The 12,967-nt window shown below is 35.1% G+C and overlaps 1 protein-coding gene across 6 annotated transcripts in view, besides 2 other annotated features; it reads right to left on the bottom strand.

The window, feature by feature from the left end:
* Positions 1-12,967, bottom strand: part of PRMT3 (protein arginine methyltransferase 3) — a 121,623-nt gene that overhangs the window by 35,113 nt on the left and 73,543 nt on the right. For 5 of the 6 annotated variants that reach the window (NM_005788.4, NM_001145167.2, NM_001145166.2 and 2 more), the window contains 2 exons: positions 12,059-12,246; positions 9,680-9,766 (listed from right to left, as the gene is read on the bottom strand). In NM_005788.4, the coding sequence (NP_005779.1) occupies positions 9,680-9,766; positions 12,059-12,246 (275 nt within the window). Of the gene's footprint in view, positions 1-9,679; positions 9,767-12,058; positions 12,247-12,967 lie in introns of those variants that run through there. The other variant, XM_047426228.1, reaches the window with a different exon arrangement.
* Positions 8,951-9,120: an enhancer, noted in NCBI's record as "experimental_19937 CRE fragment used in MPRA reporter constructs". NCBI's record gives its function as "activates a minimal promoter by MPRAs in K562 erythroleukemia cells, with activity observed for both the introgressed and non-introgressed 11:20486737 or rs7126986 variant alleles {active_cell/tissue: K562}" and the evidence as "EXISTENCE:reporter gene assay evidence [ECO:0000049][PMID:34662402]".
* Position 9,035: a transcriptional cis regulatory region, noted in NCBI's record as "Neanderthal adaptively introgressed variant 11:20486737 (GRCh37/hg19 assembly coordinates) or rs7126986 in the experimental_19937 CRE". NCBI's record gives its function as "modulates activity of the experimental_19937 enhancer by MPRAs in K562 erythroleukemia cells {active_cell/tissue: K562}" and the evidence as "EXISTENCE:reporter gene assay evidence [ECO:0000049][PMID:34662402]".

Raw genomic sequence — 12,967 nt, 5'->3', positions numbered from 1 at the left:
ACAGCACAGCTTCACTACCAAAAAGGAGCCAGACTCCTTCTTTAAGCGGATCCCTGATCCCACTCCTGCTACCTGGGTGACACCTCCCAAAAGGGGTCTCTAGCCACCTCGTACGGGTGCAGTTCAGGCTGGGAACAGGTCAGTACCCTGCAGGGATGGAGCTTCCAGAGGAAGGAGCAGGCTGCCATCTTTGCTGTTTTGCAGCCTTCACTGGTCATACCCTGTATGACACTTGGTATGGGAAAAACTGAGGCAACTAGGGTCTGGAATGGACCTACTGTTAAAAACCGAAAACAACATCAATGAAAAACCTGACACAAACCCCATTCAAAGGTTAACAACCTCAAAGATGAGAAAGGATCAACACAAAAATGCTAAAAACTCAAAAAGCCAGTGCCTCTCTTCCTCCAAATGACTGCAACACCTCTCCAGCAAGGGCACAGAACTGGGCTGAGGCTGCAGAACTGGGCTGAGATGGCTGAATTGACAGAAGTAGGCTTCAGAAGGTGGGTAATAATGAACTTTGCTGAGCTAAAGGAGCACGTTGCAACCCAATGTAAAGAAGCTAAGAATCATGGTAAAACATTACAGGAGCTGTTAACCAGAAGTAAAACACTCCTCAGCAAATGAAAAAGAATTGAAATCATAACAGTCTCTCAAACCTCAGCACAATCAAATTCACTCAAAACCACACAACTACATGGAAATTGAACAACTGCTCCTTAATGACTCCTGGGTAAATAAGTGAAATTAAGGCAGAAATCAAGGAGTTCTTTGAAACTAATGAGAACAAAGAGACAACATACCAGAATCACTGGGACACAGCTAACGCAGTGTTAAGAGGGAAATATATAGCACTAAATGTACACATCAAAAAGACAGAAAGATCTCAAATCGACATCCTAACATCACAACTAAAAGCACTAGAGAACCAAAAGCAAACAAACCCCAAACCTAGCAGAAGACAAGAAATAACCGAGATTAGAGCAGAAGTGAAGAAGATAGAGACACAAAAAACCCTTCAAAACATCAAAGAATCCAGGAGCTGTTTTTTTGAAAAAATTAATACGATAGACTGCTAGCTAGATAATAAAGAATAGAAGAATCAAATAAATACAATCAGGAATGGTAAAGGAATATTACCGTGGTCTCCACAGAAATACAAACAACCATCAAAGAAAACTATAAAAACCTGTATATAAACTAGAAAACCTAGAAGAAATGGATAAATTCCTGGACATATACACCCTCCCAAGACTGAGCCAGGAAGAAATTGAATCCCTGATGAGACCAATAATGAGCTCTGAAATTGAGGCGGTGATAAATAGCCTATCAACACCTCCCCACCCTCCACCCCCCACCCTCCAAAAAAAGCCCAGGACCAGATAGATTCACAGCTTAATTCTACCAGAGGTACAAAGAGGAGCTGGTACCACTTTTACTGAAACCATTCAAAACAACTGAAAATTGAAAAGGAGGAACTCCTCCCTACTTGTTCTATGAGGCCAGCATCATCCTGATACCAAAACCTGGCAGAGACAAAACAAAAAAAGAACACTTCAGGCCAGTATCCTTGATGAACAAACAAAAAAAGAAAACTTCAGGCCAATATCCTTGATGAACATCAATGCAAAAATCCTCAACAAAATATTGGCAAACTGAATTCAGCAGCACAAGTTGGCTTCATCTTTGGGAGGCAAAATTGGTTGAACATATGGAATCAATAAATGTGATTCATCACAAAAACAGAACCAATGACAAAAATCACACAATTATCTCAATAGATGCAGAAAAGGCCTTCAGTAAAATTCAACATCCCTTCATGTTAAACACTCTAAAACTAGGTATTGGTGGAACATATCTCAAAATCATAAGAGCTATTTATGACAAACCCACAGCCAATATCACACTGAATGGGCAACAGGTGGAAGCATTCCCCTTGAAAACAGGCACAAGACAAGGATGCCCTCTCTCACCACTCCTATTCAACATAGTATTGGAAGTCCTGGCCAGGGCAATCAGGCAAGAGAAAGAAATAAAGCATATTTAAATAGTAAGAGAGGAAGTCAAATTATCTTTGTTTGCAGATGACATGATCCTGTATCTAGAAAACTCCATCATCTCAGCCCAAAAGCTTCTTAAGCTGATAAGCAACTTCAGCAAAGTCTCAGGACACAAAAATCAATGAGCAAAAAGTCACTAGCATTCTCATATACCAACAACAGGCAAGCTGAGAGCCAAATCATGAATGAGCTCCCATTCACAATTGCTACAAAAAAAAATACCTAGGAATACTGCTAACGAGGGAAGTGAAGGACCTCTTCAAGGAGAACTGCAAACCACTGCTCAAAGAAAACAGAAAGGACACAAACAAATTGAAAAACATTCCATGCTAAGGGATAGAAAGAATCAATATTGTGAAAATTGCCATACTTCCCAAAGTAATGTATAGATTCAATGCTATTCCCATTAAACTACCATTGGACATCCTTCACAGAATTAGAAACACTATTTTAAAACCAAAAAAGAGCCTGAATAGTGAAGATGATCCTAAGCAAAAAGAACAAAGCTAGAGGCATCATGCTACCCAACTGCAAACTATAGCATATGGCTACAGTAACCAAAACAGCATGGTACTGGTACAAGGACAGACACATAGACCAATGGAACGGAATGGAGAGCTCAGAAATAAGACTTCACACCTTCAATCAACTGATCTTCAAAAAACCTGACAAAAACAAGCAAAGGGGAAAGGAGTCTCTAATAAATGGTGTTGGGAGAACTGGCTAGCCATGTGCAGAAAATTAAAACTGGACCCCTTCCTTACACCATACACAAAAATTAACTCAAAATGGATTAAAGACTTAAATGTAAAACCCAAAACTATAAAAACCCCAGAAGAAAATCTAGGTAATACTACTAAGGACATAGGCACGGGCAAAGATTTCATGACAAAAATGCCAAAAGCACTTGCAACAAAAGCAAAAATTGACAAGTGGGGTCTAATTAAACAAAGAGCTTCTGCACAGCAAAAGAAACTATCATCAGAATGAACAGACAACCTACAGAATGGGAGATTTTTGCAATCTATCCATCTGACAAAGGTCTAATATTCAAAATCTACCGAGAACTAATGCAAATTTACAAGAAAAAAAACCATTAAAAAGTGGGCAAACAACAGGAACAAACACTTCTTTACATGTGGCCAAGAAACATATGGAAAAAAAGCTCAACATTACTGATCATTAGAGAAACGTAAATCAAAACCACAAGGAAATACCATCTTATACCAGTCAAAATGGTGATTATTAAAAAGTAAAACAGATGCTGGTGAGGTTGTGGAGAAGGAGGAACGCTGTTTACATGGTTGGTGGAAATGTAAATTAGTTTAACCATTGCAGAAGACAGTGGCAATTCCTCAAAGACCTAGAGGCAGAACTACCATTTGACCCAGCAATCCCATTACTGGGTACATATATCCAGTGTAATATAAATAATTCAATTATAAAGATACATGCACATGTATGTTCACTGCAGCACTATTCATGATGGCAAAGACATGGAGTCAACCTAAATGCCCATTAATGGTAGACTGGATAAAGAAAATGTGGTACATATACATATACACCATGGAATACTATGCAGCCCTAAAAAGGAACGAGATCATGTCCTTTGCAGGGCCGTGGATGGAGTTGAGAGCTGTTATCCCGAGCAAACGAATGCAGGAACAGAAAATCAAACACCACATGTTCTCACTTATAAGTGAGAGCTGAATAATGCAAACACATGGATACCTGGGGAGGCAACAACACATGCTGGGGCCTGTTAGAGGGAGGAGGTTGAGGGAAGAACAGCTAATGGACACTGGGCATAATACCTGGGTGAGGGGATGATCTGTACAGCAAACCACTATGGCACACGTTTACCTATGGAACAAACCTGCACATCCTGCACATGAACCCCAGAACTGAAAAGGTGAAGAAAAAATTGTAATACCATATTTTTACTGTACCTTTTCTATGCTTAGATACATAAATACCATTGTGTTGTCATTGCCTATAGTTGTAAATACAGTAACATGCTGTACAGGTTTGTAACCTAGGAGCAACAGGCTATAGTATATAGCCTAGGTGTATAGTAGGCTATATAATCTAGGTTTTTGTAAGTATATTCTATAATATTTGCACAATGACAAGACTGCATAACAATACACTTCTTCACATATATCCCCCTCATTAAGTGATACATGACTGTATTAAAAAAGTCTGCTTCTTTTTTAATTCAGATGTTTATCTTTAACAACTGTAGTAAAAGAAAAATTCCTAGGAAAAACATGTTAAGGAATGTTTGTGAAAACTGAAAATTGCTATACCAGTCATTCTGGTACATGCTAATAGAAAAGTAGAATAAAAGAAAAAATGCTGAAATTAAGATATAAAAACTATTAAGAGATGATATATCAAATAAAAACCTTTACAGGTCGAATATTCATAATCTGAAAACCTGAAATGCTCCAAAATCTAAAATTTTGGGTGATGACATGATGCTCAAAGGAAATGCTTTTGGATTTCAGATTTCTGCATTAGGAATGCATAAATGGAAATATTCCAAAATCCAAAAAATTTCTAAATCTGAAACACTTCTGGGCCCAAGCAAGCATTTTGTATAAGAGATACTCAACCTGTGTTATTTGTGTGAGCATGTAATCTGATAAATCCATCTTAACTATTTTCATTTTTAAGGTAAACAACTCATTTGTTCTATAATAAGCATTATTCAAAATCATTTAATGTATACTTAGAATTATGAACGAACATACCTTTCTATACCTTTAAGTAGCTTATAGACACACAGATGAAAATATAAATGCCACTTGGCATACAGAGTAAGCGAATATTACACAAATGACATTACAAATAAACGAGAACTCACAAGATAAAACATATGACTTCTAAATTTTATAGTCTTACCGCTTTTGCTTTTGAACACCTATAAACTTTCCACAAAAATCACTGACTTTATTGTTCATTTTTGGCTAGGTTAAGCAGGCTGATATGATAGATGAAATGTCAGGAGCCAGCTAAACTTCATCTCTATTGTAAAAGCAATGACAATTTTATCTAAACTGTCAAAAATATCCTAAAGTAAGAAATGCTCAGAAAACTGCTATGTGGTACCAGTACTCATTGAAAAATTATCCTTCAATCATTATAGATGATTCAAGATTCAAGACATTTACATATAAATATCACATGTTAAATTCCTAAAATATAAAGTCTGTTAATGTAAAACATTAAAATGCCATGAAGCTTCGTCTGTGGCATATGGGGATGTGTGTATTTGGTGGTGGAGAAGACTGCAGAAGATAATGTTTTTCATGAAAGGTTCTAATAATCTTCAAGAAGCTATCTAAAAGCATTATCAGTCTATAGCATACATGCTATTAAAATACAAAAGGGGTGTTCTTAGCATCTTGTAACTTTGTAAAATCCAATTTCCTCTAACTTTTAAATTAGGCCACAAATTTAGAATCTCATTAAGAAATAAATGGTTATGACCAGGCAGAGAGTGGTTCATGCCTGTAATCCCAGCACTTTGAGAGGCTGAGGCAGGCAAATCATCTGAGGACATGAGTTTGAGACCAGCACAGCCAACACAGTGAAACCCTGTCTCTACTAAAAATACAAAAATTAGCCGGCTGTGGTGGCGCACATCTGCAGTCCCAGCTACTAGGGAGGCTGAGCCAAGAGGATCGCTTGAACCTGGAAGGCGGAGGTTGCAGTGGGCTGAGATCATGCCACTGCACTCCAGCCTAGGCAATATAGAGTGAGACCCTGTCTCAAAACAAACAAACAAACAAACAAAACAAAAACCACGTTATACATATATCATACATATATTTAAACTGGGCTAACTATAATAGAGAAATTCTCCACTTTAATTAGTAGCTAAGCATTCAAGTTTCAACACAAGAAGAAAAGCATTTAATATCTGAAGGTTTGTACTTAGCAGTACAAATTCAGATACTTTCTTCTTCCCTCTATCTAAAAAAGCCCAATCTCTTCCTCTTATTCCCCAGTTACTTTATTTATTCCTTTACTAGGCTTTTTCAAAAACTTTCAATATCTTCGCTAATTCTTCTAACTATAAAGGGGAAACAAAGTTCCAATTAGGCACTCATCCTTTTTAATACTTTTGTTATGGATTATTCCCACATAAACTGGGCGACTAATCCATTCAAAGAGGCCATGCTTGCGTAAGTAGCTCCAGATGGATAGGTCTGTAGGAGGGAGGGTAAGGAGCTGATACCATCCCAAAGAGCAAGAGAATCGAAGTAAATATGGGTGGATAGTTAAGATTCACAAATAATGAACACCTAATAGAAGCATTAGGCCACAACATCTTACATATGTCAAGCTCACGTTAGAGTTAGCATGCTGGGAAGGAGGTTTCCAAGAAATGTAGATGCTTAACCAAACAAGTATAAGCTTACTCTGAGAGGATAAAGAAAAACTTCAAAGATCTACTTCCTATCTGCTGCAAAGAGGATGAACTCTGGTACTGATTTCATCACATGAATCTGTGAGGCCTGTCTCTTAAGAAGAGTGAATTCTGATTATACATATTCTCTTTCCCTCTTCATTCCAACTGCTGGACTATTTGCCAAAAATAAACATTGTTAAATCTGTTTCAAATGCAACACGAAGCCTGCTTTCTTCTACCCCTGTAAGATCTTATTCATAGGTTTCTCTAAGTTCTTTTAATAGTTTCTACAATCCCACAAAGAAGGTTTTTTGGGTCAGGAAAGAGTAAGGAGATTTTATTTCACAAGTAAAACAGTAATTTTTTTCCTTCACCAGTAAGATGGGAATAATATGAGTACTCATCTCAAATGGTTATTATGAGAACTAAATAATGCTTTTAAAGTGATTAGCACATTGTCTGACATTCAAGTGTTCAACGACTGTTGATGTACGTTACCTTCCTCTGATAATATTAACTAAATTTTAAAGGATAATGTCAGAAGAGTTAACATTCAATGCTAACTACTAAAATATTTTATCTTCAGTACCTGGCATGCATCCAATAAATGGTTTGTAACAATACATTCTTCCTGAGGTGAGTTATGGAACTAGGTTATTCAGCAGTAACTAGACACCTGTAACTCCACTCCAACCTCCTGCCACCTTCTTCGCAAACCTTAGGCTCACCTAATTTCCAAACAAACTTTTTCATAAACACCATTCAGGCAAGTTGCGACTAAAAATGCAAATCTAAATAAAAGGTACTTTATAGATATAATGTAACAGTTTACTTATAATTCATTTTTCTTATGGAACTTTGTACAGGGACAAATGCAGCAAGTAACTATTTGATACTTAGATTCTTCAATATTAAAAGTTCAATTACAATCTTTGAATTAAATAGACTTTACCAATTTTTTTCTTGTTTTGTTTTACTCTTTTAAGTATACAGAATAAAACTAAGATGTTTCTTTTTACTCTTTTAAGTATACAGAATAAAACTAAGATGACTGAAGGATACAGTTTCATTTAATACAAACCTTCTTGTACTCTATCCTAAATACTAGGAAATAGAAAACAATTCCATATATGTGTTATGAAACTCCAGATCTGTAGTATAAAACTGTAGCTAAAACTGCTTTCCAAAACTTACTGACAGCTAGGGCCCCACATGACCTAGATTCACCAAGCAGATATGCTGAATGAAGATTTGGAAGGAGAACATGGCCTACCTGGGTTGGGAGGACAGAGGACCAGGAACCAGGATGGTAGTAAAGGGTTTTGTTCATCTGGGGTTGTCAGTGGTGGCTAACACGGAGTGGGCTAGGGGAATTAAGGTAAATAGAACCTACAGTGCTAGGCTATTTAAAACAGGCAGCTCTGTAGCAGGCCAGTTCAAAGGTGTGGTTCTAGAAGTTTCTAGAAGTTGAAAATACTGTCTGTTCCTTTAGGTCTCCCAATGTGTCTGGAAACTATTGTATTCCCTCTAACAAATCTCTCAGTTTAAACCAACCGATTTAAATTCTGTTGTCGAAAACTAAGAACCCTGACCAATAAACTAGAAAAAAAGAACATTTCAATGAAAGTCAATAAACTTTTCTAGAGTTCACAAATATGCACAAGCTTTTGACATCTTCAGTAGAGTTTTACATCTGCTCTATTTTGATTCATGTGATAGGCACTGAAAATATATGTGAAATATATATTTAATACTGGTGACATGACAATTTATTCTAGGAATTCCTTTATAGATGATTGATCAATTTTCATTAATCAAGATGGTCTTTTTTCAACCCTCATGTATTAATAATATCAAAACAAAAAGGAAAGTCTAGGAGTTAGCCTTTAGCCTAATTTCAATTGACAAAAATAATTTCAATTACTAAAAAGCAGAATTAGAAAATACATGGGAAATGAATCAAATTTTGCTTTTTGTTAATTAAATAAATAATGAGTGCTCCAAAGTCACAAATCTTTATTTGTGATATTTAAACTTTAATCTGGATATTTAAATTAAACTTAAATCTGGATATTTAAACTTTAAAAAATTATAAAACCAACTTCAACTAAAAGAAGATTCCCTCAAAACATCAAAGTACATTGTTAAACTTATTTGGATATAAAATAATCACTGAATCAAAATGAACTGAAACAACTGTAAAGACATGAAGTCTTGTGTATAATATATCGATCTGAACCAAATATTTAAAAGAATCAGGCAGAAGACTCAATGTTAACATGACTTATAATCTATTTTACAGATTCTGACAATACAATTTTCCATAAAAATGTAAACTTCTGAGGACATAGTTTTAAAAACCATATATTTTTAAAATAATATAAATATGTTAATACCACCTATATAAACTCATACTATAAGGAGCAGATTTTATGAACAATTTGAGTCTCCTGACAGCAGTAAATGTTATCTTAAAAAAATAAACATTTATAAATTATTTGAGATGAAAAATTTTTTATATTTTAATAATCTAACGTTTCTGGCTACATTGCAGGTATTTTCACATATATCTCATGAATCCATGTAATGAGTCATCGAAACAGAATTATCCCCATTTTTCTTAAAGCAACTGAATAGTCTGAAGTACAGATTACTTAGGTAACTTAACAACGAAATAAGTGGTAGAACCACATAGGAACCCAGATCTGCCTAACTTTTCCAAAGGATTTTTTCTATTAGACTATTAAATTATTATTAGATTTTTGAAAGGTAACTCAATAGCAGTTCAGTAATTTTTTCATACATAAATATAAAACATAAAATATTCTACCAAATAAACATATCTTCCATCTAAATTAAATGTAAAGAGTTAAAGGGAGGAATAGGGTATGAACTTTGGTCTTTGAAGATAAAGTTGAGTGCTCTTGACTAACCACGTGATAGGAAATAATGAAGACTCTATAAAGAAAAATCATTATGTAAACAGGGTTTCCTAATACTTTTTCTACTGAATTAAACTTTTTTGAAGTTTACTGACCTATTAACCAGATCTGTTCAATGGCCTAGCAAAGGCAATGGTAGACTGTCAGAGGCAATAGTCATTTTCATTTGTCACAAGCCTGGTAATTAAACTCATTAGCCTGCCAATCAACTGCACTGCTAGTGAAATTTGTAAAAGCAGAATGAAATAGCTTACCGTGCACATGGATGTCCTTGTGATTTTCAGGGTAAAATCTGATGAAAATTCCAAATCTGAGATAGACGTCGTATGGCAATCTATATGCTACCCATTAAAAAGAAGTGAAGAAAGAGCTTAGTAAAAATAGTCCAAAAAAAAAAAACAAAAAATAAAACAAAAACAACCCAGACAAACATTACTTCTTTTATGCACAAATGATTATTGGAAACCAAAGTTTTGCAAACTTTACTCACATGCTAATTTTTGGAATTATTTATAAGTTTAAGGAGTACTAGTACTATCATCTTGTTAATTTTTTCTTAAATTCATTTAACTTAGGCTCCTTGTAAACAATAGTATTTATCAAATCATAGTGCTAATGTGCTAAAGTTTTCCTGACACACTAAAATAAATACTTTCAAATAAAAAATGTTTTCCTGTGTTTCACCTAACATCATTTTGCCTACTGTGTATGGTACACCCACCACAACTGCTATAAAATATGTGTGATAACAGTCAATACATTTATAGGAACTGCCAACTTGAAAACACATGCTAATGAAAAGAAAGTTGTTTTAAAATTCATGTCTATAATTGAAGATAAGTTTTGTTAGATATGAGGAGAAACCACACAATTCAAACAAAACAGCAAAACTATGGAGATTTCGATCCAGAGAAAAAATAGCGAAATATCTTTATTTTCCCATTCTGCCCTTTTTCAAATCCTTCTCCATTATACTTTGGAGAAGGGATGGAATCACCTTTCAACTACAGCAGTCTAACCAGAAGTGTGCTGTAAAGACCGTCATCAGCTGAGTAGATCCAGCCAGGAGTAGATCATAACCCAGTGAATGCAATTAATGTAACCACACATCTGAGACACTATTGAAAACAATTTGAGAAAACATTTTAACAGTACAATGTGTTTGTGGGAGGACTGGAAAATACAGAACAAACTATTTACTTAAATAAATGTTAAAAAAAAAAAAAGAGTACATACACTTTTTAACACCTTATTTTCAGGTCTAAATTTTTCTGTCTCAACTATTTATTCATGGCAGTTTTTGCATTAAGCAGAGATCACTAGAGAGAGAAATCAGCAACCTCCACCAACTCTCCTCTTTCTGCTCAACTTTAAGGCTTAGTTGGTTATAACTGTACACTCCTATCCTGAGCCAAAGAGCCCAAATAAACTCTTTATTCTCACTGTACCAGAGCACTGAAGTCGTATAACCATCAAGCAGACTGTTTTTCTTAAAAGCTGAACGCACTTTTAATCAGCCTGCTCTTGTTAAGAAACTTCACATTTATTACTCTATACTATTAATGCTTTATCCATTTAAGAAAATTAAATATGTACTAAATATCTGCTTTGTACAGAGAAGAAATATTGATGCTATATGAAAGTAACAGCGTGATTAAAACGAGAAGACAGCACTTCGGGAGGCCGAGGCAGGCGGATCATGAGGTCAGGAGATCAAGACCATCCTGGTCAACACGGTGAAACCCCATCTCTACTAAAATACAAAAATTTAGCCAGGCATGGTGGTGCATGCCTGTAGTCCCAGCTACTTGGGAGGCTGAGGCAGGGGAATCGCTTGAACACGGGAGGCGGAGATTGCAGTGAGCCGAGATTGCGCCACTGCACTCCAGCCTGGGCGACAGAGTGAGACTCTTTTTTTTTTTTTCTCTTGAGACAAAGACAATATCCTGAACCTAACACTGAACATACTGCTCTAGATTTGATTATCTAGTTGAAACAGACCAAGAGTTAAGAAAAGCAGTATTGTTTTTTGCTGCAAAGTTATTAGTGAACCCATGTAAATTCAACATAGAAAAATTCATAATAAACCCAGAGATTAACATGGCAAAAAATAAGATGACAAAACACAAAAGGAATTAACTGAGAAATCTGAACATAGTAGGGCTTTCGTTTCATGGGCAAATTTACTATATGTAATTACTTAATCTGAAAACGCTGGAAGAAATCTGAATGAGAGAAGTTAAACTGTGTGGAATATATGACACGAATGAATAATCTGGCTGTAAATGAGAAGCTAAAATAAGGCTGGGGAGGATGATGAAGCAGAACTGATAATACAGCAGGACTTTTTACCTTATTAAGCCAAAGTAAATATAAATTATTCAACCGGTTCAGAGTTAGATTTGAAGGACTGTAAAACTGAGTGTAAGGAGTTTTAATATACAGAGAAGTGATTCTAAAGAGATGATATAGTCAACTGGTAAATATTATGACCTCAATTTGTTTTAGACTGATTACAATGGGAAAAGTACTGTTTTGAAAGCCCATATATAAAATCAATATATTATTTTCAAATGCTGAACTAAGAAAAATAGCAATACCATTATAAAAAATAAAGTTGGTAAAACACCTACCTTAATACCACAAGGTTCTGAAATAAGAGTCTTCGGATCTAAAACTTCCACAACAGCTTCTGGAATAACTGCTTTCTTCATGCAGGACATCTTGAAGCCATAGACATCATCCCAAAAAGCAATTCTATCAGCATGTTTATTCACATCACTCACTGCTACAAGGCTGATAGTGCAAATGTCAGGGTAGACTGTAACAAACAAAATGCCCAACAATTAAGCATTATCTCCCTTTCTTATGGAATATAATTTTTTAAAGCCTAAATATAAATATCAAATCCATCAGTAAGGATTACTAGCAATGGGAGATTAATGAAGGTATAGATCAGGAAAAACAACCATGCTTCATCTTGTAGCCTCTTTTAAAAACAGATACGCATTATCATGATGATAAAATTAAAACAGGGATTCCAATGATAGGGTTTGAATTAAAATAGGGTTATATAATTAAACAATTCTGAAATAAACATATTTATTGATATTAAAACTTAAAGTATGCTAACTTAAAAGGTACTAGATCTTTACTTATTCCTATATTCCTCTAAAAACATGCAGAAAAGGACAAATCATTTAAAAAGATATGTAGCATGTAAGAAAATCATGTAATAGGGTTTTATAGTTATACAGAAGACCACTTCATATTACTCTCATTTAATAGAAAAATATTTATAAGCATAAAGTATGTGCCAGACACATGTGCCAGTCTAATTTACAGACTATGGACACATATCACTATCCTCAATAAACTTATATTTAGACTATTTTGAAAAAGAAATGCATAGTTATTTGTGAGGTAATAAATACTAAGAACAGGAGCATCCAAGGTACTAAGGGAGCTCATGGCAAAACCAGCTAATTCAGACTTGGCTGGAGCAGGGGAGAAGGGATAATATATAAGATAAGAACTGAAGC

This window comes from Homo sapiens, chromosome 11 (assembly GCF_000001405.40).
Source record: "Homo sapiens chromosome 11, GRCh38.p14 Primary Assembly".
Taxonomy (NCBI): Eukaryota; Metazoa; Chordata; class Mammalia; order Primates; family Hominidae; genus Homo; species Homo sapiens.
This window is presented reverse-complemented; position numbering and strand designations above follow the sequence as displayed.